Source organism: Homo sapiens, chromosome 20 (genome assembly GCF_000001405.40).
Source record: "Homo sapiens chromosome 20, GRCh38.p14 Primary Assembly".
NCBI classification, from domain to species: Eukaryota; Metazoa; Chordata; class Mammalia; order Primates; family Hominidae; genus Homo; species Homo sapiens.
Window position 1 is genome coordinate 9,262,574 of NC_000020.11, and position 27,965 is coordinate 9,290,538.

At 38.1% G+C, this 27,965-nt stretch overlaps 1 protein-coding gene across 14 annotated transcripts in view; it reads left to right on the forward strand.

Moving 5' to 3' along the window:
* The window catches only part of PLCB4 (phospholipase C beta 4), a 412,131-nt gene that overhangs the window by 193,896 nt on the left and 190,270 nt on the right, over window positions 1–27,965 (forward strand). For 2 of the 14 annotated variants that reach the window (XM_047440201.1, XM_047440202.1), the window contains exon 1: window positions 17,885–17,903. The exons of 11 other annotated variants lie outside the window; for them this stretch is intronic. The gene's annotated coding sequence lies outside the window, so the exon portion shown is untranslated. Of the gene's footprint in view, window positions 1–7,632; window positions 7,850–17,884; window positions 17,904–27,965 lie in introns of those variants that run through there. One more of the 14 variants, XM_024451900.2, reaches the window with a different exon arrangement.

Here is a 27,965-nt window from a genome sequence, read left to right on the forward strand (position 1 = left end):
AGAGTTGACACTGTCTGGCATTCCATGAGGAAACGAAGACTCCTTGTAAATGACTTGCAGAAGGTTACATGGTTTTTCACAGGAAGCTCCAGGAAGCTGCCTGGTACTGTTGGATATGGACATGAACTATTTATTCCTCTAAGATCCTGACATCTGAGACAAAGCCAGGATGTTTTATACAACTCTGGACTAGATGTGTTCTCTGATGAAAAGTGAAACTGCATCCTCTTTGCATTGGAATTTGCAGGCACTCTCTCAAGCTGCTTTAAGTGAGAAAAAGGGGAACGTATTGAAAGAACACAAGGCTGTGTCCAGGAATCTCAGAGTAAGCAGGGGAGGATCTAAAAATATGAACTGGAAAGCTTTAAAGAATCCAGGCAGTGATTGATTTTCAGCGGCTCTCTTATCTCTGCTCTTCCAGTGCTGTTTTTCTCTGCCCTTGTTTCTCTGTATACATGAGGTTGGGTGACTGTCCTAGATATTTACATGCCTATTTCAGGCAGCTCTTAACTAGCATCCCTGAAGTTCAATCCCAAACTCTCAAGAGAGGAAGAAGCTGATCGGCTCATGTGCTCAGCTTTGAGCACATGTCCCTCCTTGGTCCAGTCAGCACTGGCCAGGGGCAAGATCCCAGCACAAATATGGGTGCCATGGATAGCGTTGTGGATAGGGGTCTGATAATACTTGTCAAGGAAGAAAATTGTGGGCTGGAGTTCTCTAAAATTGACCACTACCTAAAATTGACCACTACCCTATGATATCTTAGCAGGTCTGGGACAGGGGACATGATCTTTCACCATCACTGTCTTTTCTTTTCTACCAACAAGAATATCTAGTCCCTTGCTATTGAAAGTATGGCCCATGGACCAGCAGCTTTAGCATCAGCTGGGAGCTTGTTAGAAATGCAGACTCTCAGGCCCTTCCCTAGGCCTATTGTGTTAGAGTCGCGTGGTAACAAGATACCCTGATAATTGTAGAGCACTGACTTTTGAGAAATGCTAATTAGATGGAGGAGAGAATTAGGAACCAACACAGACCAGGGCTACTGAGATGGCTTCTTCCACAGGTACCTGTCTCCTTTTATCTGGCAGCTAATTTGTTTTGGCCAAGCTTCAGCTAAGAGCTATCCCCTGCCCTCACTGAGCTCTTATTTAAGGTGTTTCTGCTAGAAACTTGAGTTCAGGATGAGCTGGAGAGAGCTGCCTGTGTTCAAGAGAAAGATAGTTTTTGTGTCCATCTTATTGTGTATTGGTACCAAAGGGGTGATCAGTGGGATGAAAAAAGGAAAGAGAAAAGCAGTAAAGGTGTTAAAATCATGTCCAAAAGGCAAGTATCAGCAAGTTCATTTTTAATTAGTTATTACCTTGAGGTTACTTATATTCAATCATTATACTACACCTGTTTTCACTTCTGCCTCTGAAAGTTTTTTAACGTCTTTAAAAAGGCATCTTTTCATAAAGCTTAAGCTCTTTGTGGGCTAAATAACAAGTTTTGATTTAGGAGAAATTACTAGATAATTCTGTATTAAGTCTATTTAGAATACAGACTCCCTCAAGAAACTCACCAGGTAGAACATCTGTGGCAGCAATTCAGAAATCCATGCCATTAATATTTCGGACTTTGAAGTCTAAAAAGATAAATTTCTGACACTCTACCTTGCAGGAACTCTGTTTTCCTTCATTTTCTCTTTTATACTCCCTAAAAGGCCCTGGGAACTAATGTGTGTCCTACAACCTGCCATTATTGTTAAATCAATCTGCTTATTTGCAGGAACGCTTTAATTATTTAGTAACCTGATTGGAAAATCCATATAAATTATTTTCTTATAAAAATCCTTACTTTGTAATAGAAGTGATCAGATGGAAATAACAAGAATTTCTAATTCTGTGGGCAATCAGGTGGCCTCTCTCAATGGGGCCCTTCTGACATGAATTCAGAACTTTCATCAGTGTTTATGTTGTTGGAGTAGAAATGTATAGTTTCACTGGATCATGTTGGAATTGTTGAAGCCAATTGCTGTAATGCACTTGATTTTTTGTGACTAAATTTCTGTATTTATCAAAACAGTTTCATTTTGTCTGGAAATGTAATGTCCTTTTCTTGAATAGGCATGTGGAAGTATTTGGAAATCTTTGAAGTACTGTTTCTCAACCTGAGCTGCATATTGGAATCACCTGGGGAGCTTTGACAACTACTGATTCCTAGGACCCATCTCCAGAGAGTCCAGAGTAATTGCTCTGGGTGCAGCCTGGACTGTGGGATTTTTAATCCCTTCCCTCCCCTGAGATTCTAATGTGCAACCAGTGTCAAGAGACATCATCCTGTCGACCGTTTACCAAACAGGTGTGGATGTGGGCAGACAGGCTTGTCAAAATGCGTTTTCCCAGATGCCATCCCAAGACAACAAATTCATTAGTTTTGGGGCAACTCCAAGAATCTGACTATTTAAGCAAGTCCAAGCCCCATTGTGATTTTGATAGAGGAGGCCCTTGCACCACATTTAGAAACCCTTTCTTGGAGATTATTTCTAAAAAGAGAATGACTGGGACCAAAATCTGTTCAGTGTTGTAGTATTAGGGACCATCAGTGAGTGATTGAGGTGTACTTGAAAAGATGACGAGGCTGGGGACTGGGCGTGGTGGCTCATGTCTGCAATTCCAGCACTTTGGGAGCTCAAGGCAGATGGATCACTTGAGGTCAGGAGTTCGAGACCAGCCTGGCCAACGTGGCAAAACCCCATCTCTACTAAAAATACAAAAATTAGCTGGGCATGTTGCCACACGCCTGTAATCCCTGCTACTCGGGAGGCTGAGGCATGAGAATCACTTGAACCCCGGAGGTAAAGGTTGCAGTGAGCCGAGACTGTGACACTGCACTCCAGCCTGGGCAAAAGAACGAGACTCTGTCTCAAAAAACAGACAAAAAACAAAACAAAAACAAGCAACCGATGACCAGCAGTTATGTGGTATAGGGGCAAGACTCCTGGGGTCACAACAAAATAATAGAGTTCTGATTCTCACAGTGTTTTCGTTACCAGTTCTGTGGCCCTGGGTATGACACTTAATCTTTCTGGTGCTGTTTCCCTTCAACTCCAAAAAGAGGGCTTGGAGAATATTAATCTCAGGTCCTCTGAAGCTGCCATACTTGATTATTCTCTGATGGTAAAAATCTTCCATTAGCATAAATTCTTACAGAAACTTCTAGCAGTGCTGTTGATGGATGCCCTGCCTCAGTGGGTCAAAAAGCATAGTGCCTGGGCAAGCGGCAGCATGGTCATCTTGTTAGAAATGCAGATTCTCAGGCCCCACCACAGATTTACTGAAGAAGCATCTTGGGAATGGGTCCCAGCTGTTTTAACCAGCCCTTCAAGAGATTTCGATGCATGCTCAAATTTGAGGAGCACGCCTCTAAAAATAGTACTTGGAAAAAAGAAAGTTGATAAGTATTCTTTTTACCTGTGGTGAAGAGAAATCATTTGCTAAACATATAAACATTTAAGACTATTTAGAAAGAAATGTTGGCAAGCAGCTTCAAGTGGAAAGGTAACTGTTAAGAGAAATACTGAAATCTACAGCCTTGCTATACAATGTGTGGTCTCCTGATGGGTCAACATTGCTATCTCTGGAGAACTGCAGAATCTCTGTCTCTGCCCCAGATCTACTGAATGAGAATCTGCTTTTTTTTGTTGTTGTTTGTTTGTTTGTCTGTTTTTGCTTGTATGTTTGTTTGTTTAACAAGCTCGCTTGGTAATTCATTTGCAGTTAAAGTCTGAGAAGCACTGTTCTAGATAAAGATGTTAAGACCATAATGTCAGCTTTCTCTTACTTTTGTAATGTGTACCTATCAGTAAACATTACTGTGAGGTGTCCCACCTCACACGTCTGAAATCAAATCCAGTAAAAAATTTTTGGCCCTGTAAGTTGGATCCACACCTATATCAATTTAATAGTTAGTATCTGTTATTTTCATTGTGTTTTACCTGTTTGGGGCTTTTAAGCCTTTTTAAAAAACATTCCTTATGGAAAAAAATTGCTTAATACTGTCGCTTTCTTTTTCCTTTTCTTCCTCTTTTGAAAGCTGCCATTTCAGTCTGACTCCCTATAGTACTTGAACATTTTTAAATTATTTTTTTCTAGTGTCTGACCACTTTTCTAAAATGGAGGCTGGGTAGAATATTGAGGGTTTGTTCTGTGGGTTTGATTTTATCTTGATTCATTGCTACATTTCTATATTTGTGTGGGTCTCAATAAAATTATAAATTAGAAGATTAATGTTAAAATGTTACAAATTATAAATTAAGTTAACATTAAACTGCAAAATGTATGGGAAAGAATCCTTAAGGATCTGCAGAAGAACCTTCTAAATTAACAGAGAACTAGCCTTGTGCAGCAGTACCTTAGGATAGAGATAGGCAACCTGAGATTTCACAAATAGAACAGAGCAAGTTTATGATAAAATGGGTGGAAATGGAGCACGACATACTACGTGTATATTCTTATGTAGCAACTTTTAAAAATAACTCTTTTAATCATTTGTTCCCTCCAAAACTTAGGTACTCTCTCTAGTCACAGTTCCTAGGTACTGGGAAATTTATTGGCTTCAAATTATGAGAAGAAAACAACAGTATTAAAGTGATTTTCATTAAATATGTGCCAAATATGACATTTCTTCAACCATTTTGTCAACTAGGACATTATATCAACTTGTAACTTAAATCATCTTTATGACTTATCTATAAGCTACATTTGCTGTGTGTGCCTTCACTATGTTTGCTATGATTTGGGGAATCAAGAAAAATTCCTAAAGCTAGGAATCTTAGAACACTGGCCTTACATGGTTAATTACTTCTTTTCTTCTGTGGTTATTCCATGTCTATTTTTCTGTTTAGAAGTAGAAATTAGTCAAGCTTTTTAAAATAATTATTATTTGTAATAAAATATATCATAAAAGGGCAGTTTTTATTTGATTTTTGAGGTTATTTTTCTCTCTAGAAAATCAGTTATTGACCTTTTTGGGGGGTTAAAACTCATCTGAAAATCTCATGAAAGCTGAAGAACCTGTGCTTAGATACATGAAAATATGTAGAAAAATATACATTTTGGGCTGAAGATTAACCTTCAGTGTCAGTGCTATAATTTGCATATTTGTCCCCTCCTGAATTTAAGTTGAAACTTAATCTCCAATGTGGCAATCACTTTAAGATGTGCTTGATTCATGATGGCCCTGCCCTCATGATAGATTTATTTGTTCATGGATTAATGGAGTAATGGGTTAGCATGGGAGTGGGTCTGTGGCTTCAGAAAAAGAGTAGGAGACACCTGACCATGGTAGCATGCCTCCCTGAGGTGGCACAGGGCATCACATGGCAAGGAGGCTGAGTGTGCTAACATGGTTAGGTGTCTCTTTCTGTCACTTCTATAGAGAGTCTCCACCAGCAAGAAGGCCTTCACCAGATGCAGCTGCCTGACTTGGGACTTCTCCACCTCCATAACTGTAAGACATAAATTCCTTTTCTTTATAAACCCAGTTTCAGGTATTCTATTATAAGCAACAGAAAAGGGACTAAGGCAATCAATTAATTCAGTAAAGACTTTTTTGATGACAAAAACAAACTAGCAAAATTAACTAGTATGTTCACCACAGGAGTTTTAAGTGAGACAAAGGTAACTTTTTGGTTCTCATTGAACCCATGGCTGGGTCTAGGGTCTTGATCAGTCTGATCATACTTGGTTTCTTTCTGTTTCTCTGCCATGTCTTCTGCTGTGTTTGGTTTCATATTTCAGTCATTGACAGCTCCAGGCTGATATCCCATTATTCCAAACATAGCAGAATAAAGACTCTAATTTCAAAGTATCTCAAGTAAATCTCAGAACTGAGCTTGTGAATCTTGATTGCTTATATCTGGGTATTTTGTCCATTCCTGAACCAAGATTATTCCATCTCCAGCTGTGGTAGGTCATAGCCCAAGTCACAATCTTTCACTTTTAGAGTCAGTTTCACAGGAACCTCGGGAACTAACAGCAGGAAAAGGAAGGATTTCTAGATAAACATCAGTGCCCTCTTATCCATACAAGGGGGACGATGTTAAGGGGGAAAGACTATCAACATCCACTGCAGAAGCAGAAATGGTGTTAAGAGACAAAGACTATCAGCATCCACAACCATGAGCAACCACTGTTTTAGAGGTAAAGAAACTATATAATTAGCACAGGCCAACTCTTTTTTTATTTTTATAATGCCCAGACTACATGCATGTCTTAATCATTTCTTTTATATAAAATTTCTGTGCACCTAATGAGAAGGTATTTTTAGCTACACATCCATGACCCTTATCCTCATTGTTGCATTTCTCCTCTGAACCTTGTCATCACCTACCTTGCCCAAAAGGCACTGCTTGTTTTAGCCATTGAGCAAGGTGGGTAAGCATATTGAATTTGCTGTCATATCCTCCTTAAAGGTGCAGCAATGCAGGTCACATGGGATCAAAAAAATGAGGCTTATTCCTAATACTTTAGGCTATACTTGTGAAGCCTCATGGGAAGTTTTTCTTTAAACAAGTCTACAGCACTTATTTTAGGCTTAACTAATCTGATTAGTTGTTAACAGAAAAGGATATATTTAAAGTCCACGGATATGCAAACATTTAATCAGTGAGTATAGGTTTTATGTTCTGTCTTCATTTATCAGTGATGAGAGTGACCTTGGCTATGACCTCCCACAGCTAAGGATGGAATGCTTTTGGTTCAGGAATGGAGAAGATGCCAAGACCTGACCAATTAGGATGAACAAGCTCAATTCTGAGATTTTATTTGAAGTACATTGGAAGTGGAGTCTTTCTTCTGCTAGGGTTAATACTACTGGCATATTAGCCTGGAGCTGTCAGCCATAAGAGATAATATGTTCAACTATGTCATCATTCCAACACAGTGAGCAAGGACTGAGTGCTACTGAAAAATCTGGTAAACAGAAGGTTGTTTCACTTTGGCTATATTTTGCTGGATTTAAATTGAACGTTTCTGAAACTTCTGAATAATTCTGTCATAGAAAGATCCACGACAGGGAACATTTTATAAATAAACTACTCTTATATCAACAGAGATCAAGGCAAAGAAAAGAAACCACTCTAGGTATTTCACACAGGAAAGATTTAATACATGGGGATTGGGTACTTAGAAAATGGCCTGAAATGCTGGTGAATGATGAGGAATGTTGTAGCCATCACTGGACTTTTGAGTTCAAGAGCACACCCACTGTTGCTATAGCTGCTGTAATTTCCTCTAAAACCTGTATCTGTCAAATTGTGATTGCCAGGGGCAGTAGCAGCAGGAAGATGGCCACTGCCCTTTAAATATTTAAGTGCTTCTAACTGGTGAAACTCAGATGCATAGGAGTCTTGGAAATTTAATGTTTAACCTCCTGGCCTCCCTAACCAAGGAAGGGTGGGTTGGCAATATACAGACAATCCATAGTACATAATACAGTATTAAAAAAATGGGTTCCCCTGGGATTTTATTAATGAAGTTCCTTTTGTATTCAAGAGAAACTACCTGTCTATGACAGCTTAAAGTAATATTAAGCATCACTAAATGGTGAATTAAAGTTTTTTCTTTTTATTTATTTTAAAAGGTACAAACAGTAAAATTCATACTTTTTGATATATTAGATTTGACAAATTCATTGAATCATGTTATCACTGTCATAATAGGATACAGAACAGTGTCTTTACTCCAAAAAATTCTTGTCTGTTGTTTGTCTGTATTCCAGCTCTCTTCCCATCTATACCTCCTGGTAACCAAGGATATATTCTCCATCACTACTAGCTTTGCCTTTTCCAGAATGTCATGGAAAGGTAATCATACAATGTGTATTGAATGTGACATTAGTAGAATGCATTTGAGCCTCATCTATGTTGTTGCTTGTATAGGTAATCTATTTCTTTTTATTGCTGATCAGTATTCCATTGTGTGTATGTACCATTCATGACTTACATTTTGAAAGAATCACATATTTCCTTTTATTCAAACTCTCCATATATTTTTAAAAAATAACATGGATATTATGAACCCTACTTGCAACTTCAAACTCAGTGTTCTTTATTGATGATTAATAAGGTTATATAGTTTAATTATGATTCCTGGGTAGGATCAAGAAAATTAGACAAATCTCAAGAAATTTCCAGTCTAATATATAGATCAAGTATGCTACCTAGAATGTACCAAGTGCCCATTTATGCCACCTCAATGAGTTTTCCAAAAAAAAACAAATATTTTTTAGATGAATTATTTGTTGATTTCCATACTATCATGGAAAGATCAGTGAATACCACCCATATTTTCATTTGAAAAGATGGACTCATTTTTGGCCTTATTCACAGACAGCCTTTCTTCCAGACAAATTTCAGCATATTTTGATGACTCATTGTAGAAATTGGTTTATTATTTGCAGCAGGAGAAAGCATTGCTAGCCAACAGCTGAGAAAAAGAAAAGGTTACAACATTCTGTTTTAGGTCTCTAAAGGCCTTATTGGGCAGAATGTAATTTCCAGCTGTGGATTCATCCAGCCTTTGAGGACTTACCCCTGCCTGTTTTCTGAAGTGTTCTATGATTGTTCATTACCTCAAGTTGTCCATTTTACATCTTATTTGAAAGCAGGACCCTGACAGTGCTAAACTTTCTCAGGCTCAGCTGAACTGTCAGAGGTAAAGAAACCAAGAAGTTTGCTTGTATTTATTCTACCCCAGACATTCTGCATATTACATTCATTATCTCACAACTTTATCAGGTAGGTAGTAGTGTTACCAACATTTAACAGTTAAGGAAGCTGAAGTTGAAAGAAGTTAGTTACCATTCCCAGGATTTACATAGCTCATTCAAGAATTTTTGAACCCAGGACTCTCTGGTAACAAAGTTTATGCTTACAACCATTTTGCATTTAAGCTTTCTGTCATTTAGAAGACATTGACGTTGTCATTACTATTTTTTATACATGAATTATGTGCATCTATAATTAAGATGACAACTGCTTGTCCAGATTACTTATCCCTGTAAAAAAATGTTTCCGAACAATGTGAAGTGTGAGTAAATAATACATCCTGCATAAAATGTTTTGTGGATCAATGAGATGGCTTATTAGAAACACTTAGCTTCTTCCAAGAAGGGTTTCCAAAATAGCAAATGTAGTAGAATTCTTTATAACACTTGTACCTGGAGTCAGAAGTCACACGTAACATCAGACTAACTATATCAGTTGGGGCTTTTAGGGTTGTGCTTTTTGGATTTTAGAGGGATGTGATTTGACCTTTGATTAAGAAGGCATCATGGGGCTGGGTGTGGGGGCTCACACCTATAATCTGAGCACTTTGGAAGGCTGAGGAGGGAGGATTGTTGAGCCCAGGAGTTCAGGACCTCAGCCTGGGCAACACAGCAAGATCCTATGTCTACCAAAAAAAAAAAATTGGCTGGGCGTGGTGGCATGCACCTAATAGTCCCAGCTACTCGGGAGGCTGAGGTAGGAAGATCACTTGAGCCTGGGAAGTCAAGGTTACAGTGAACTATGAACATGCCATTGTACTCCAGCCTGGGCAACAGAATAAAACCCTGCCCACGCACCCCCCTCAAAAAAAAAAAGAGAGAAAGAAAATATCAAGGTACCATGGCTAAGAAGGTATAACAATTTCTTAATACAGAACTTTGTTGCTGTTGCAATGAGGTTCGCTGTATCACTTGAAAATAATTTGAAGAAATTAAATCAGATCAGGGCCTTGTACCTAAAACATTACATGTGCTTTAGTAGTCATAAAATATGTTACGTTAATGAGGATGCTGACTGGCAATCAGAAGTCTAAAATGGGGCATTACTGACACTTTACATGCTGTCATAGTTAATACCATAGCTGCAGGTCTCCAACCTAGACTATTGAGGGTCTGGGTCTCAACCCCTATCTCCTCTCCTCCCCTCATTCCTCCTCCACCCTGAATTACATGCAAGCCTGGACAATATTGCTTTAGCACTTTCTAAGTATATTTTATGTTGGCAAGTCATATATTTACTCAGTTCTTTTGTGCAAAGCAAGTAAGCTACCAGAGCTCTCCCCTTGGGGCCATTAATCAAATTGTTTTTGAGCTTTTCTGCTCCCCAGGGTGGGGACGTGTGACAAATTTCTTGGTGAGCATACCCTTAAAATGAAAAGATGTTCTTGGGTGATATCAGACAAGGTCAGTTTGTTCTTTGGTGTCATGAAAAGGCTCTCCCAGTTTGTTCACTGTTACTAGTGAACTTGACTTACCTTGTGAGCTTCTGGTTACAGGGATTTTTTTTTTTTTTTTCATTTCATTTTACCTACCTTGGTACCTAGCAGTGTTGGATATATAGAAGGTACTTTCTATATTTTGTTTTTGGAAAATACTTTAAAGTTACACAGGAGAAAATATATCCATGTAATTCAGAGGAGGCTGGATTCCCTTCAGGAATGGGGGCATTATTGGTTTTAATCCTCAGTATATACTTATTAGAAAATAAACAATGAGTTGAATGTTTGACGTAGGTCAAGTAGCATGCAGGAAGGATAATCATAGACCTGCTTTTGCAAAGCGTACAATCAAGGGTAAAAGACTTACAATGTGAGAATAGAATGATGTCACTACCACTTTTATCATTACTCTTGCCTAGTATGTATCGAGCAACAATGAAACGTCAGAACTTCTTCTAAGTCATTTCAATATTAACGCCTTTAATTCTCAAAACAACGCTCTTGAAGTAAGCACTGTGATTATTCCCATTTTACAAATGAGGAAACTGAAATACGGAGAGGTTAAGTACTTGCTGAAGATCACACAGTTATAAAAGGCATGCCTGCTATTTGAATTTTTGCAGTCTGACTCCAGAGCCCATACTTGTATGTACTGGTCAGATGGAAGAAGCAGGGGATCCCAAATGAGCCCCTCACCCAAAGCTGTGGGTTAGAGAAGGGTCCCAGAGTCAGTGACATCTGTGCTAAGTCATGGATGATGGGTAGGTATTTGCCAGGTGAAGGAGGAGGAAGAGGAAGGTGTTGAGTTATGTTCTGTTCGGATGATAATACAGACTGGTTATTATGGTTGCAGTGTGTGTGTGTGTGTGTGTGTGTGTGTGTGTGTGTGTGTGTGTCTGTTTGGAGCAGATGATACAGATGCTCGAGCCAGAGTATGTATGTCTTTGTTAAGCCATGTTATTACTAAATGTGGGTTTTTATCTTGTGTATTGTTGTGAGCCACTGAAGGGCTTTAATCAGGTAACATGATAAAACTTACATTTTTAGAAAAGTTAGTTGGGCTTCTGTGTAGACAATGAAAGAAAGAACAGGAGGAAGACTGCTGGCAGGATATTAACTAGGAAGCTTTGCAGCAGCCCAGGAAAGGACGGATTAATACAAAACTAGAGTCAGGGGAAGACGGGGCAGATGCCAGAGAGATCCAGGGAGTAGAATCCAGCAGGACTTCGTAACTGATTGGCTGGATAGGAGAGAAGAATTAGACAGAAGAGTCACATTTAGAGTATTTCAAAGAAAAAAAAATTGAATTCCACAGTTCTTGCTCCAGGCCAGTTTTTCATTGTTCTTACAGTTCATTTTTCTTTAGAAAGGAAAAGGCACATTAAATGTTAAAGAAACAGATGTACCTGATTTTTTATGGACTCCTGGTCCATTTGACTTTCCTTTCTAATGCTATAGTTTCTTGAGTTTACACTACTTGTGGTGGCGAATACTTTCAGTAAACTTTCTTGTATGTCATCTCTTAAAAATTGCAATACCAATCCCTTTAAGTTGCCGTAAAAAAGAGAGGGCAATGCAGGATGAGAGAAATTATGCTTGTCTTCAGTATCTTAATGGGCACCATACTCCTTAGATATTAAGACTGAATCTGACTTTTACCCCCCAAATTATCAGATTCTGACCCTATTTTATTTGCACATGTAAACACATGTTTGGGAACAGCAAAGTTATTTCCATCAGCCTTGGACAATGCATTTTTATAATGGCAAATTCTATTCTTAAATATCCCACATAGGGTTAAAGAGGAAAATATCTTCTGTCCTACGAAAACCATGCCTTGTGCTTTGCCTCTACTCTTTGTTTCTGAGCATCAGAAACTGTGTTTCTCTTGAGAATTTCCATCTGCTGATAGGTTTTCTCTATGGTTCTAGAGAGCAGATAAAGATACAAGTATCCCTTATTATATGACAGTCTTGCTTTTTCTGTACAGTACAGGTTTTCAAGTAGTAAAATTCCTACCTTGTTTAAAATGTTTAAAATCTATACTAATTATTTGGCCCCTTTCCTCTTTGTCCCTTTTCATTTTGTAATTGTCATTCAAGTGTAAGAAAAATATAACCATGCTTAAGATACTTGAAAAAATCTTTCCAATTCAGAACTCTTTGAATGTAATAGAGACTCTTTAGAATTTTACCATATAGAAGGAAATACTGTTTCAACCACCATATGAACAATGATTTATGATATTTCTTATTGTATTAGCCCGTTTTCATGCTGCTGATAAAAACATACCCGAGTCTGGGAAGAAAAGGAGGTTTAATTTGACTTACAGTTCCACATGGATGGGGAGGTCTCACAATCATGGCGGAGGGCACAAGGCACTTCTTACATGGAAGCAGCAAGAGAGAATGAGGAAGCAAAAGCATAAACCCCTGATAAACCCATCAGATCTCGCAAGACTTATTCAGTATCACAAGAATAGCATGGGAAAGACTGACTCCCATGATTCAGTTACCTCCCACTGGGTCCCTCCCACAACATGTGGGAATTCTGGGAAATACAATTCAAGTTGAGATTTGGGTGGGGACACAGCCAAACCATATCATTTATGAAACAGCATTACCTGGTGGGGAGGAAACAAGTGGCATATTATCAAATGGGACGCTATTATTGCACAAGGTCATGTGGCTGTTAAATGGTAGAGCCAGAACTCCAGCCTTGTTCTGTGCCATTCCTAGGCCCTGCTCTTTCTTACTTTCATACCACACATGTCATTCCTGCCTCTAGCTCACGGCCACAGTCTAATTTTTTGATAGGGAGCAATTCCAGAAATGAAGATTCAAATCCCAACTAATTCTGTTCTACTGAAAATATGGCCCATGGACCAGCAGCATTGAGATCACCAGGGAGCTGTTGATAGCTGCTTGTTTTTGGAGTGCTTATTTTGTCCAAGTGACGTGCCAACTCCATTACATGCATTATCTCATGACCTTCTCAAAAGATGTGCAATGATACAATCCTTCTTTTTCCACAGATGACAAAAGTAAGGATAGGAAACTTATTGACCATACTTGTCCAGTGCTGTACAAGGAAAGGTTGGAGGTGAATTTGGACCTAGCTGTTCTGATTTCAGAGCTTATACTTTTAACCATACACTGCAGTTTAGGATGCATGTGGAGCTGTTTCAGGGGAGAGCACAGTAGGGAGTGGGAAGGTGAGGAGGAAAGGAAACGGATGGCAAATGTGTCACCTAGGTAGGCTAGCTGCTGTAACAAAGAGGACCACAAACATGTAATGGCTTGAAAATATTTATCTTTGCTCATATAACAATACTGGGCAGGTGAAGGGGTTGATGCAACTGCCACATGTTTTCGTTTATTCAGGAATCCAGGCTGATGAGAGCTCTGTCATTTTTAGCACGTAGCTGCCAAATTCACCCTGGAGTCAATGTAGCTAGAAGGACGAAATCACCAAGAGGAAGGGATGTTCCTGGGAGGATATTTTATGGGCCATGCCCAGATGCGATACAGCTACTTCCAATCACATTTCATGGGCCAGGACTCAGGTGTGGGGGCCTGAGAAGAGGAGCCAGATGTGAGTCTCAGACGGGGAGGAATACCTGGATTTTACTGAGTTTTCAGGAAATAGTAGGTCATAAGCCGCTATTAGAATCAAGCCTCTGGGTACATTTTTATATGTTTTATTCTTTCAGGCTTTGTGAGAGGGGGTTATTTATTTCATTTGCAAAGCAGTGAATTGAGATCCAGGGATTTGTCCAAGGTCACATGGCTTGTTCTGTGCCATTCCTAGTCCCTGCTCTTTCTTCCCATCATACCACACATGTCATTTCTGCCTCTAGCTCACAGCCACAGTCTAGTCCTTTGATAAGAAGCAATTCCAGAAATGAAGATTCAAATCCCAGCTATTCTGTTCTACTCAAAATATGGCCCATGGACCAGCAGCACTGAGATCACCAGGGAGCTACTTAGAAACCTGCAGTTTCATACTTGGGAGGCTGAGGTGGGAGGATCGCTTGAACCCAGTTTCAGGCTGCAGTGAGTGATGATTGTAATCCTGCACTCCAGCCTGGGTGACAGAGCAAGATCTTGTCTCTAAAAGAAAAAGAAAAAGAAATAGAAATGTGCAATTTTTGTCCCTACCCCATAACTGCTGAATCAGACTGGTCATTTTAATGGGGCCCCCAGGTAATCTGGATGCACAGTAAAGTCTGGGAAGCCCTGGACCAGGTTCCTGGAAGCCAGCTTCTCCACCTACTGCCGCTATGTGACTGTCATCTTCCTTCCGTGTGGGAGAAGTGGATTCACTGCATGTTAGCTACAGGGTATAACCACTGGAGTAAAATTTCAGCCTTTTTGAAGAGTAAACATGTTTAACCTAGAAAGGACTACTTAGCAACATAATATTGAAAGACCGCTCAGCCCATTTTTTGAAAAGCATGAGCTGTTTCCATAGATAAGCCAAACAGGCCTGAACAAAACAGAGGAAAAGCGAACTTTGCTGTTTTGATTTGTGGATGATGATTTGATTTTCTAAAAAGAACAGCTTTGTTTCTTTCCCTGAGAACATAAGATTACTGAGTTCTTAGAGCCTCAGCTCATGCAGCTTTCCTGCTTGGGTATATGGGTAGGGCAAAGCCAGATTAAAGATGCACAGTATCAAGCCATCTGACCTCCAATGCCAGATTTCCTGCAGTAGTCTAATTACCAGTTTATTAGCTGTTAACCTTGCACCACAGTTACAAAACGGTAACTGCTGGTTAGAGTCTTAATAGTTGATAAGTGTCAGGGAGGGTCTTCCTTCTGGTGAGACCAGTATCCTTGTGAGTCTCATGATGATAATTTGCTTTAGAGCTCAGTCACTGGAAGGGAGGAGAGAAGGGACATAATGACCGAGGGTACCCAAGTACTGTGACAGAAGGCCATAGACAGCTTTCCTATCTAGGAGGAATTCAGCCTGAAGCCCACAGCTCAAGGGGCACACAGACCAGGCACTCCTGTTTTGAAACAATAAAATGAAACTGTTTTTTGCAAGTTTTGTTCACTTGATCATTTTGCCCTGTGTCTGTGATTTCCCTTAGAATAAACAAATTAGGAACAGTACCTCGGTTTTAGTATAAGACCAAGTGCAGCCACAACAACATTGCCTTAGAAGGTAACTTTATGCTATTTGTATTCAATTAAATCTCACAAGCCACCCAGAGTGAATGTTTTCATGTTGCTTTCTTAGAGATATGAACACAGAGAACAGAAGCTTGCTTAAGTTCAGAGCAAACAGAATTCCAGTTGCACGGACTCTCCCAGTTACAGCTGTGTGCTTATCAATACTTGGTGGATAGGGAAGAGGTGGCTTGTGAACTGCAAGACTTTAATACATGTCAGTAACCTTCTACTACAAATTGAAATGCTCTGTAAATCAGGAAAGGGTTTGCCATTTTTATGCTAGTGTATTTCACGACAGTCCAGTTGGAAAAGAGTTAGTATTGATGTTCTATTGGCAAGGTTTCCAGACCAGATTTGATTTATAAGAACAGCACTGCATATAAGAGTGTACATTGCTTAGATGGGACATCCAGGAACTGTGTTAATCTACATTTTCAGGTACTTCTACTCAAGAGAAGCACAGAAAATATCTTTACAAAGTTCCAAAATTAAATTTTAGAAAAAGGTTTGAACAAAAATGTTTGCTTATTAATTTATCCATGGTTACTCCAGCGAGCTCTCTCATGACAACTCATGGCATGCTTTACTAGATGCTGGGCCCTATGCATGGGTTTCATCTGATATTACCCTAAAAAGGACTCTTCACATAGATATCATAACCTTCAGTTTACAGTTTGAGGGAGCTGCATTGGATCTCACAACGAGCAGATATGAGCGCTGGACTTCCAGGGTCCTCGAAAGTAGCAATCACTGTGAGTACATGATGGCAGCCGACACATAGAATGGACGTGGTCCATACAGGCCATGACTAGGGCAGGTTGTCTCACTCACACAAGGCCTGTTCATTTATTCATTCATTTCTCTTCACTTGTTTAATAAGTACGCATTGAGAAGTTACCATGTGCCAGGAGAACACAAAAATGAAAGATTCACAGGTCCTGCCCTCATGGAGTTCCCCACTGAGTTTTTGTTTGTTTGTTTGTTTAAATACAAGCTTTACTGTATTTCCTTTCTTGGATGGTTACATCTAGGTAAGACAGATACGTTGTATGTTGGATGGCCTCAATTAAGCAAGATGCTAATAACTTTATGAAACTGTGGGAAAAATTTGGAGTATGTTATTTGGTTAAAGAATAGGAACATTTCTAAGGACAGATTACAAAGTTAAACCTAAAATTAAACAGTTTGCTTGCCAATGTATTCCTTTTGTGTATTCCTTTATCTGTGAGTTCATTGAATGCTTCCTATGTGCAAGGTATTATGCAGAGTGTAAAAGTTGAATTCAGTTTCTCATGCAGCTGAAACTTCTTTCAGACTTGGACATGAGCTTGAAATAATTAGAGTGCTAGATAGAAATGTTCATTGCCTTGGAGAGGTATGTATAAAGTACTTGGGATTTAAAGGAAGAGAGAATTAGAGAAAACGTGAAGGGGGGGAAATGACATTTGAGCCAGACATCAAAGGACAGACAGGATTGGAAGATGGGGAGATAGGTAGGAATAGAAGATTCATTTTAGCCAGAGAGAACAATAGGGAAAATAGAAGAGTGACTAGCAGGAAATTCAGCTCAAATTTGAGATATGAAAGATATTTTATAGGTATCAATAATTGACTTACTTCCAAAGAGTTCATCATCATTTTAATCTTCCTTGAAGATTATTTTTTAAATCCAAGTAAGATATTTTAAAAATTAGACCGTACATAAAAGTTGAAAAAGGAAAAAAATGCTGACCTTCACTCCAGTGAAACCACTGGCTAACGTTTGAGTATTTTCCTTCAAGTCTTTTGCATTTTGTTTCTGTGCCTCTTTTTGAGTAGTTGAAATAATGTATTGCATTCTGCCTTTTCATTTAAAATAATACTACCAGCACCTACCCACGTTATGAAAATCTCTTTGGAATCGTCACATTTAATGGCCTTATACTGTTTAGCCGTTTGGCTTTGTCATAGTTGACTTTACCCCACCCTATTGCTGGAGTTTAGGGTGTTTCATGTTTTCCATTGCTATGAACAGACTAGCTGTTGGCCAGCCAACCCTTTTTGTATTTCACAAATGGTAAAGCCAAGGCACTTGTAATAAGCCAAGATGGGGACTGACTTGTTCAGTTGCTAGAAGCCAAAAGACTGTTGCATAAAAAGCTGCCTTCTGACTAGAAGAGGGGCTGTGGGGTTTCTAGGAATAGAGATTAATAAGGTGCTTAGGTCATATCCCCTGAGAAGTTTAATCTGAGTGGGCCACTGACCTTCTGGCCTCTGGAAAGGAGATCCATTGAATTTCTAAGCCCTTTGGTACTCCTCCCATTTCCTGCGGAATTTTGATTGTGGGTAAAGTTTCAAAACACTGGCTCTTCACATTGGATTTCCAAGTTGGGAAGAGAAGGCAGGAAGACCTATCAAAGGACAAAGATATTGTGTTCTCCACTTCGATCTGAAAGATGGAATGGCAGGGGAGAAGGGAAGGGAAAAAAAGGAGGTGGGTGTCTCTGTCCTAATTTCACTGGGTTTCTCATCCCATTAGTTGAAGTTAGCAAACAGGAAAGCATTCTCCTTAGGAAGAAAAATGGCAAGAAAACTGATGCCTGCCTTGCTTGGATTTTTAGTGTTGCCAAACACCTATGTTTGTGACTTATTGATTTTGTACTATGAACCTAGCCTGCTTTGCATCAGCTCTTCTTGTCTTTGGTCGCGTCTTTTCTTTGTGAAATTTCACTCGGTGAGGAAATACTGAATTGGAGGGAGATACGGTCCTTACTGAGCATGCTGAAGTAAATCCAGCTATTAAATCCAGCATAAATCCCAGCAGAAAGTAGTGTATCAGAAATGTGGTTCTGTATGCCGAACATGTGTTCATAATAACAGTGCCTGGAGGCATATTTGTATTATAGTTCAGCAAAGGAAGGAGACAGGAAGGAGACTCTTAGCTTAGGGCAAAGAAACATCTGCTACAAAAAAAAAAAAAAAGAGGTATACCACATTTATGTAATAAATACTGTTTTGAAAGTTTCTCTGAAATTAGTTTCCCATATTAAATCATGCTTCAAACTTTCTTAGGAACTTCACTTTTTCAAAGAATCGTTCTATTAAATTTTTGAGAGAGAGCAGAATTTCTTAACAGTTAAGTATACTAACCCTGGGATGAGGCTACCTTATTCAAATATTGGCTTCACCATTTAGTATCTTTGTGACTTTGGAAAGTGATTTAATTGCTTGAGGGCTTAATTTCCCTATCTGCAAAACAGACACAATAATAGGACCATCACATAAAGTCTCTATACAGATTCAATGTGAAAGAACATTTTAGAATGCAGTATTAGAAGTAGTTTAATCACTTTAAAATGTTGCTATTAATAATCTGTTAATTAGCAAGTGATATTATGCATGTAAAATAAAATTTTGGAACAATATTTTTCTTACAATGAGCCAGGTCTGTAGGCTAGGCATATTAAAATATTTAAAATAAGTCATGGTATATTAGGTTAAAATGATGGAATGAAAACACTCCAAATCAGAGTTTCAAAGTAATTCAACTGAACTGTAAAGCAAAATAGGTATAACACAATTCTATGCTAAAATGTTTTAATCTTAGGTTTATCATATAACATTTTATTACCTAAAACTGCTAAAACATGTAGGTTTTATATTTAAAATGATAGTTTGTATTTAGTTTGAAATGTGGAGCTGAATGATTTTGCAAAATTAAATTGGGAATACGTTATATTTTAGGTACCCTGGAAAATTGTCTGTGGTTAGATGGCTGATACCTTTCCTTCTTATTTAGTTTAATTGAAAAAAAATTGGCATTGAAGAATTAAACACACTCTAAAATTTCAATAAATATTCCATGACTACTTTATTTATCTAGATATCAACTTACTAATAATATCAGCCATCCAAGTTAAACAAAAAGTAAAACATCCAGAAGTGAAAAATACAGCCAAATGTTGTACATGGCTAGTATACAGATCCTGCTATAAAATGCTATTATAAAATCCAGCTGCCCTCACTCAGAGCCTACTGATTCTTATATATCACATAATCTTTCCCTTGTTCCTTCCTCTGAAGACAGTAGGAGCTATAAACAGGAACAGTTTGGGAGAAAGCAAAGCCCGGCATCAAAAGAGATATAGAACAAAATGTAGACACACAACTTTGTTATCACAGGGCATGATGACCAAGGCATTCCTTTCCTCATTCAGTTATTCACTTCTTCATCAAAGATTCTCTAATCATCTGTGATAGTACCAGTCTGTCTTCTAGGTATAGGCTTTAGAAAAGTAGGTAGGAGAGATTCAGAGAAAAATAGGATATAAACATTTCTCTGTCAGGTTGCTCACAATAAGGTTGACGTATTTGTGTTCACAATAATTCATGTCATCCAGAAAAGTGATGTTACAGTTTTATGTACTTCAGAGTCACAGATGGTTTGCTTTAATTTTATTATACCCCCATACTCACACCCTGGACTGCTTTGCAAGTTTCTAATTGCTTCCTCTCCCTGCCTTTTTATTTTGGATTTCCTCTCTTCTTCCCTGTATCTCCTTAATACTCTTCAATAATATCATTTATATAACACAATCACAGTGCCCACTTACTCACTAGAGCCTCACAGAGATCTGTCATCCGATTCAGCCTATTTTAGCAGGTATATAGGTTAGCTTTTGTTGTGTAACAAACCACCCTCAAATTTTGCAGAATTTTTTAAATCATGTTTTATTTCTCACAGTTCTCTGTATTTGTTGAGTGGTTTTTCTGGCCATGGCTGGCTTGGCTCAGGTTGGATAACCTAGGATGGCCTCACTCACTTTATTTGGGGCCTCAGCCAGGAGGACTGGATTGACTGAGACTTCTATGTGGCCTCTCATCTTCCAGTAGATTGTCTTAACCTTTTAAACATGATAATCTCAGGGTTTCAAAGAGAACAAGAAGGAAACCCCAATGTACAAGTACTTTTCATGCCTCTGATTTGTTTCAAAGCAAGTCACATGTCTAAAACCCATTTTCAGTATCCATGTGGAACGAAAGTCTTCATATCTTGATGGGAGAAGCTGTGTAGTCATATTACAAAGGAGTGTGATCAAGGGAGGGGAAGACTTTCTGGTCATGGAAATGGTCTACCATGCCTGGAGAAGGAGTGGTAAATATATCCCCCCAGAAGGGACACACTTTATCTTCAGGCAGAAACCATTGGCCTGAACTAGTCATATACATGCTCCTCCTTCTACCCCTGCCCCCAGCTGAGGCTGCATGCAAAGGAGGATGACAAATAAATAAAGCCCTCTATGTATTACATTTGTCTCACATGACAAAGTTCTATTTCACTTATTTTCCCTTGACAAAATCCATTGAGGCCTTTCAGAGTTAGCCATATTCAAAGACACCATGAATTTCCACCTTCAACTCTTAGGTGTCTGAAGGCTGATCTTCTAATAGGTGGGGTTTGGGGGACGGTTTTATGAAGTACTTTAAAGTTTCAGAAGCAAGATGCTGTCTTGCTGCTGATCATTTATAGTCTCGAACATTACATGTTGCATTTCACATAAGAATTCTTATCCTTTATGGCCTAGCTCAGAAGCTTTCTCCAGGAGGCCTTTCTACCCTTTTCTCTCCTGGGCAGGGGTTATCTCTCCTGGTTCTAAATTCCTGTAAAATATTATTTTGCTTATGTTGAATAGTCTACCTACTCTGCTGGATTTGAGTTTGTTAGGATAGAGTCTGTGTCTTATCCACTATTGAATTCTGTGTAGTATCTAGTCTAGCAGGGACACAGTGAAATAATAAATCATCCCTTGATAAAGAAGGAGGAGGCTATATTTAACCCTAATGCCCTACTTTATTCCCTTTCTATTATATTTTTTAATGTTCCATTTAATTGTTTTCTATCCCTGAGTCACCAACACTTAAGGCCACTGTCATGTATGGATTCCTCTGTTAATTCCTTCATTGAGAAAAGTCAGAAGAGGGACACATTCATTCATTCTATACAGGTCTATATTGAGCACCCACTACGTGGCCCATATATTTGTGTGACAGAGACACAGCAGAAAACAAAATATATGTAGTCACTACTCTGGTAGAGGAAAACACAAACAAGATATATAAAGGATCAGAGATGAAGTTGTTGATGTGTGTTACGTAGAAAAATCTAGGAGGTAACAAGAAAGAGAGATCCTGGTGGTGGTGAGATGCCATTTTGTTCTGAGTGGCCAGGAAAAGCATCTTAGATATGGTGACATTTATACTATGATCTGCAGGCAGTGAGCCATGCCGATATTTAGGGAAGAATGGTCTAAACTGAGGTAATGGTAAATGCAAAGGCCCTGAGGCAGAATTGCAAGTGGCCTCTATGAGGTACAGGAGGAAGTCCATGTGGTTAGAGTCAAGTGAGCATGGGAAAGGAATAGGAGATGAATGGAGAGAGATATAAGGCTAGATTATGTAAGGTCTTACAGCGTGTTGTATAGATTGGCTTGTATCCCAAGGGAGATGAGGAGCCTTATGAAGAAAGGGTAAAGAACCAAAGGTATGGAGAATTACATGGGTTTGAAGAAAGAGTTGGGGGAGAGGGAAATGTATGATCTTTTTCGTCCCTGTCCTCCAACATTAAGTGGATTTCTCACCTTGGTCCCCCCTGTGAAAAATCTACTTCCAAGATTGGCTCTGTGTTTGCTAATCATCAGTATCTATGACATGTATAGAAATACCTTCTTCCACAGGAAATAGATAAATAGATCAGAGATAAATAGACTATATAGTGTTTGCTGGTAATTCTTGCCATTTTACCAGATATAATCGTTTAAAAAAACATGTCCCATATTTATGTAGTGCTTTATTATAATTTAGGTTCTCAAAAAGATTAGTTTTTAAACCAGGTCTAGAGCTCTGCTTAAGTTGTTTCAACAAAACCCAACTCATTATATGTTATAAATGAAAAAGCAGTTATTTAAATTGCAATGGCCTTGATGTCACAGGACTATAAATGAGAGGATGCCCAGGGGAGGGGAGAACATTCACTTTCAGCATGATAAAACATCCTGCATGAAGATATGTTATTTTTACAAACTCATTTTCTGCAAAGAAAACCATCAAAAAACAAGGAACTTTCTGTGTAAGTGTGCTAGGAATGTTTTTTTTTTTTAAATTTGTTACAAAAGTAACATATTATAATAAATGTAAACAATTTAGAAATTTTTAGCATTTTAAAAATGTAATTATAGTCAGTTTATAATGGCATTATTTTAACCAGGGCAAACCAGCCTTGTTATGAACACATTTGTTTATTTTCAAGATAATTTGATTAGAGCCAACTTATTGGTTTCATGTGACTAATACTGGGCTGTGGTGTGCATTGTTTAGTCAAAGAAAAAATTAAATTATCATTTTTACTTTCTGTGGCCTTTAGTAAATAAAGGCTGATTTACTAAATAAAGCCTGACTTACTAAGTTCTTTTTAGCATAGTATAGTTCTCCTCATAGTAGAATTCATAGGAAATCTTGGCCCTCTTTTATGATAAATTGATATGCTTGGGTACAAGCCTATTTATTACTGCAATATAGACCTGCTTTCTGAGGTTCTTCTTTCTCAGGAAAGTAAATAAACATTACAGAGGATATTTGCTACTCTGTGTGACCCAGTAAAGAGTTCTCCTGGAGAAAACTTTGCAAATAACATGATCAACAATTGCATGCTTTGGGGCCATAAACAAAATAAGCAAAAAAGTTGTTTTAGATCCTAGAAAAGCTTGATGGAGCATTCTACTGTCTGGTAAACAAGACCAGAGTAAATATGGCTCCAGGTAGCAAGTGAACAGCCAGACCAGGGTCAAGGCCAGCATTCGCTTGCAGGGGTTAGAATGCTGTACAGCAGTGAAAATAGTGTCCATGTCTATTGTGAAATAGAACAATGCCATAAATGCGTAGACATCATCTTTTCTATCTTGGGAGCCTCCTGCAAAGTGACATTATAGGCATGTCTGTTTTCAGATGGGGAAACTCCTTGAAATATAGTTTGTGGGATTCTCTTTCAGCTTCACAGTAATTGGTTGAAGCAGGTCTTAAAATTGGTTCTTTTCACATGGAGTGCACTTTACCATTAAAAGGAATCCATGTGTCTCATGAAAATGTGAGTTATCTTGTGTAAGTATGTGTGTTGGTGGGTATTTGAAATTAGCCTGGAGTTTAGGAGTTTTAGGGGTTTTTCCATCTACTTTTAAATTCTTGGACATAGATGCCTACAATTAGGTAGTTTATCAATAATCAAATAGGCTAAAATATAATGAACACATTTGGGATATATCTCCACCCATAAACCTTCATACTTCTTTGTAAAAGTTTTGCTGAAGAAGTATGTGTTTATCATATGAGGAGGTGGTTATGGGTATAGTGGAAGAGACAGATTTAGGTTTGGAAGGTAATAATTAGGGAAGGTTCTCTGGCTTCTGGTTTTACTTCAATGTTTACATCTATTTCTTCAGGCCTAAAGCCTTTTGTCCCATTGTCAAGAATAGTTCAGGACCAGTGTTTTATTCCATGAGGCCAAGAGAGAAAATGCCAGTTGTGTGGCCAATCACTTAAGCTTAAGAATGTGACATAGTACTCTGCAGAGAACTAAGAATGTATCTTGAGGTACTACATCTAGGTTCAAATATAACCACAACATACAGTGGGATTCACAGTTATTTTAAGACCACGCCAGTGAGGTCATTCTGAGTCATGACCTCATGGATAGAGGATTCTAATCAACTGCTGAAGTCTACAGAGAACTAATGAACGAAAGAGTCCTGAGATCTGGTAGGGGAATTTTGAAGCGCCATCAGTATCTTTGTATAGACTTTCCATCCCCTAGGATCTGTATGGTCAAATAACCAGAAAGGCTTCCATGGTCACCTTCCTGGACACCTGGCTGTGAGCCAAACAACTTCTTCAATCTCTTGCCAGGTCTCTAGTCTGTGAGTCAAAGAATACCATATTTATGAGTGATGTTTTGAGATAGTGGGTGCTCTGTGAATTTCAGGTAGTGTTTTTTTGTTTGTTTGTTTTTTCCTCACCAGGGAGCATCATAATTTTTCAGCATGTTTGTTAACAATGTACATTTTATTTTAAAAAAAATCATGACAATAAATTCATACATTGCCAAATAACAGGTGTCTGCTATCTGATTCTGTCAGATAAACTTTATACCTTTTCTGGAATATATGAGTTAGAAAACTTCAGGTATCAGACTCAGCTGCCTCAAGTACTGACATACCAGGCATTTCTCTGTTTAATCATCACTCAACTCATGGATGAAAGTATTAGGAAACAGAAGGGATTATGAAGATAACTAAAGTTATTACTGGCACTTGAACTGAATTTCTCTTAAAATATCAGTTTACTTTGATATGTGCTACAAAGACCTTAACCATGTTTCTGTCTGATTCTTTTGTGAAATGAAGGTATCAATACAGAATGAACTGTTTTGATAAGCTCCCTCACAATTTTAAAGTATAGAGTTAATCTCTAAGAACTAATAAGCAATGATTCCATTTTCTTGATTTTATTTTTATGAGCCACAGTTTTATATCCCACTGCTTATCTGATTTGAAAATGGTTGTAATATTTTGAGAAAGTTAATATCGAGTCATGCCAAAACCTTAATAAACTTAGTCTTGAACTAATATTTCAGGCTCATGAGGGATTTCTGTATGCTAAGATAGATTTTAATATTACAGAAATGCAATAGTGACCTTTCCATAAAACCTTAATAAAATTACTTTGTTCTATAAACTGCAGAAGAGATGGGAACTTTCTTGAAAGAGAATATGCATGATTTATCTGCATTTCATGGCTTAATCTTATATCTCATTTCTTCAGATCTCTTATGTTTTTCTTTTCCTTAAGGCAAACAACAGTAATTTCCATATTTTTAAACTAGAGAACAGACAGAATTTTTCAAAGGCATGTTTTCCTTTTGCACCAGTGAGATTGGGTTTTGGACTGGCAGTTCAAGGATGTGGTTCTATTGCAGCTCCACCAGCAGGATTGTGGCACCTTGCCAAGCTCACCTGAGGTTTCTTGGCCTATGTTCCCACTCTATTACAGGAAGAGCTCAGATTAAGTCTGAAATCCCTAGGATTATCTTTTATCGACTGTTGCTTAAATGTTATAACTTTCATATTCTTCAACATTCTTGTATTTTGTTGATATGGTTCTTAAAATTGTGGCACAGAAATGTACAAAATACTGTAAGCAATGTTAGGATCTGAAAGTTCACTAATTTTATTATAGCCCTTTATCAGTGACCTCCCTAAGACTGCGTTAAGGTTTCAACAAGTACCTCTTCACCATTAGCTTATTAAGGTTGGAGTTCACCAAAAGTTCAGATGTTTTTCACATAAAAAGGCCTTTTTCCTTTGTCCTGTAGTTGCTTTTTTTTTTTTTTAACTTCTACGATCTTTGCATTGCTCACTTTTACATCAATCTTGATAATTTGTCTTATTCTTCAAAGCAGTCCTTTTGTAGCAGTGAGCCCATCTCAGGACATATTTGGACATCTGGAATACTGGAGGGAGCACTGGTGGAGATGTCTTAGGAGGCTGCTGAAAACGAGGGAGTGGAGTTTTGGAAGGGTGAGGAGAAGAGTGATACCATAGGATTGCCCTGGGAGGGAGAATACTGAGAGCCAAAAAGGATAAAGGACAGAGGAGGTGGAGGGATGGCCACATGTGGAAAGAGGATCAGGCTGAAGGTAGGAGTTACATTCTGGAAAGGTTAAGAAAGATCAGGATCAACATAAGAACATTGAGCTTAAAGACCAAAAGTTTCAGCTACTCAAAAAGGCATATTTTGAACAGAACATATATGCTAGATTCCATATTTTAAGACATTTACAGTGAGTTGACAGTTAGGAAATGAGGGTATCCAGCAAAGTCTTTTTTCCTTTTTTCACAAAAATTGGCCATGGGAAGGTATAACATAGATGGCCAAAATATACCTTAATTATAAGTCTTCTTCTCTGTACAACTTCAGGGCACAATAATTAATTTAGTGACAGTAGATATTTTATCCCCAAAACTCAATTTAACTTATTATCCATGCAATTGTCATACTTGAATCTTATCTCTTTTCCTGTCTTACCTTGGGGGTTGGTTTCAAATATGGCAGAATAGAAATAAAAATATATATACAATGGCTTAATCACACTTGTGATTTCACCAGTATTAAATATAGGCAGCAACATTGATTTTATTAAAATACTCCCTATAAATATTCCCCAAATAGCATTGTAGACCAATTAATGTCATGGCCTAAGTGGCTAGATTGTGATGTTTTTATAAAACTAAGTTTTCTCTATCATATTTGGAACACTCTACAAACAAAGCCAGGATTTAAAGACACAGTGATCTATTTAAAGTGAATAATGATTTTATAAGGGAATAAAAAAATAAAAGAAACTTGAAATTATTCGGGTTTTTTTTGGATAATATAAAATATTTACTGATGTTGATGCTGAGGTTACCAGGATCTCTGTCCTCAGGTCATTTCAAAGTGGAAAATTGGAAACTGATAGTAATGTGGACATCTCCTTTATTGAAGCAATCCTTATTTTTTATTAAACTACCTCTTATTAAAGCAGCTTAAATACAGTCCCAGGAAAGGATGAGTTTCCCTCATTTTGGTTGGAGGCCATATCTTTAGAGTGTTTTTTTACTTGAAATTAAGGAACTTTCGTCATGAGAACCAAGGTCAGACAATGAGGGTGTTCGGTCAAAAGGTTTGTTAAGTTCTATTAATAGTTCTACCATATTTGAGGGATTCTAAGCTTTCTGAGCTTTACTTTCCACATTTTTCCAGTTGTGTTAAGATTTCTAACTTCAAGAGAGTATATAACTTCAAAAGAGTATGTAAAAATACTTGGTAAATGGTGAAACAGTAAGTGGATGCTGGGTGCCTTTATTGTGAGAGCTTTGAGAAGTGTGTCAGGTCAGGGGTAAATAGCCCCTGCTTTTAGAGCAGAGTGGTGACTTTCATTTCTCATTACTGCAGAAGGTCCAGCATCTCTTGCCTAATGAGAATGTCATCCTCCTGGTCTCCAGGTCAGGCCGTTGAGTTCTCTCTGATGTGTCTTTGAAACTTGCTGGCAGTCTTGTAGCATTTTAGAATATGCTGGATCAAACTTTATCCTTTCAGAAAAAAAAAACCAAAAAAAAAAAACTAATTGATTGCAGACACAAGGACCAAAGCAATTTTTGTAACTGTTCATTAGTACCGACACTTGGGAAAACCAAGGATTTGTCTAACAAGGGGCAGGGAACTTAGTTAAAGAAGCTCCATTTTCTCTCTCTTTTTCCCCAGCCTGCGGATATGGTTTGAATTAGAAGTTAAAGAAATTTGCTAAAATGAAACACCATGTGAACTCTTTGGAATCGCTTCACATCCAACTCTCTGACCTTTGATATCCTTTCTATTGCCTCTGGGCCTTGTTAGAGTGAGGGATGTTTTTCAGTTTCTATATAAGCAATGGAAGCAAACATGTTTTAAAATAATGCAATAAAAGCAC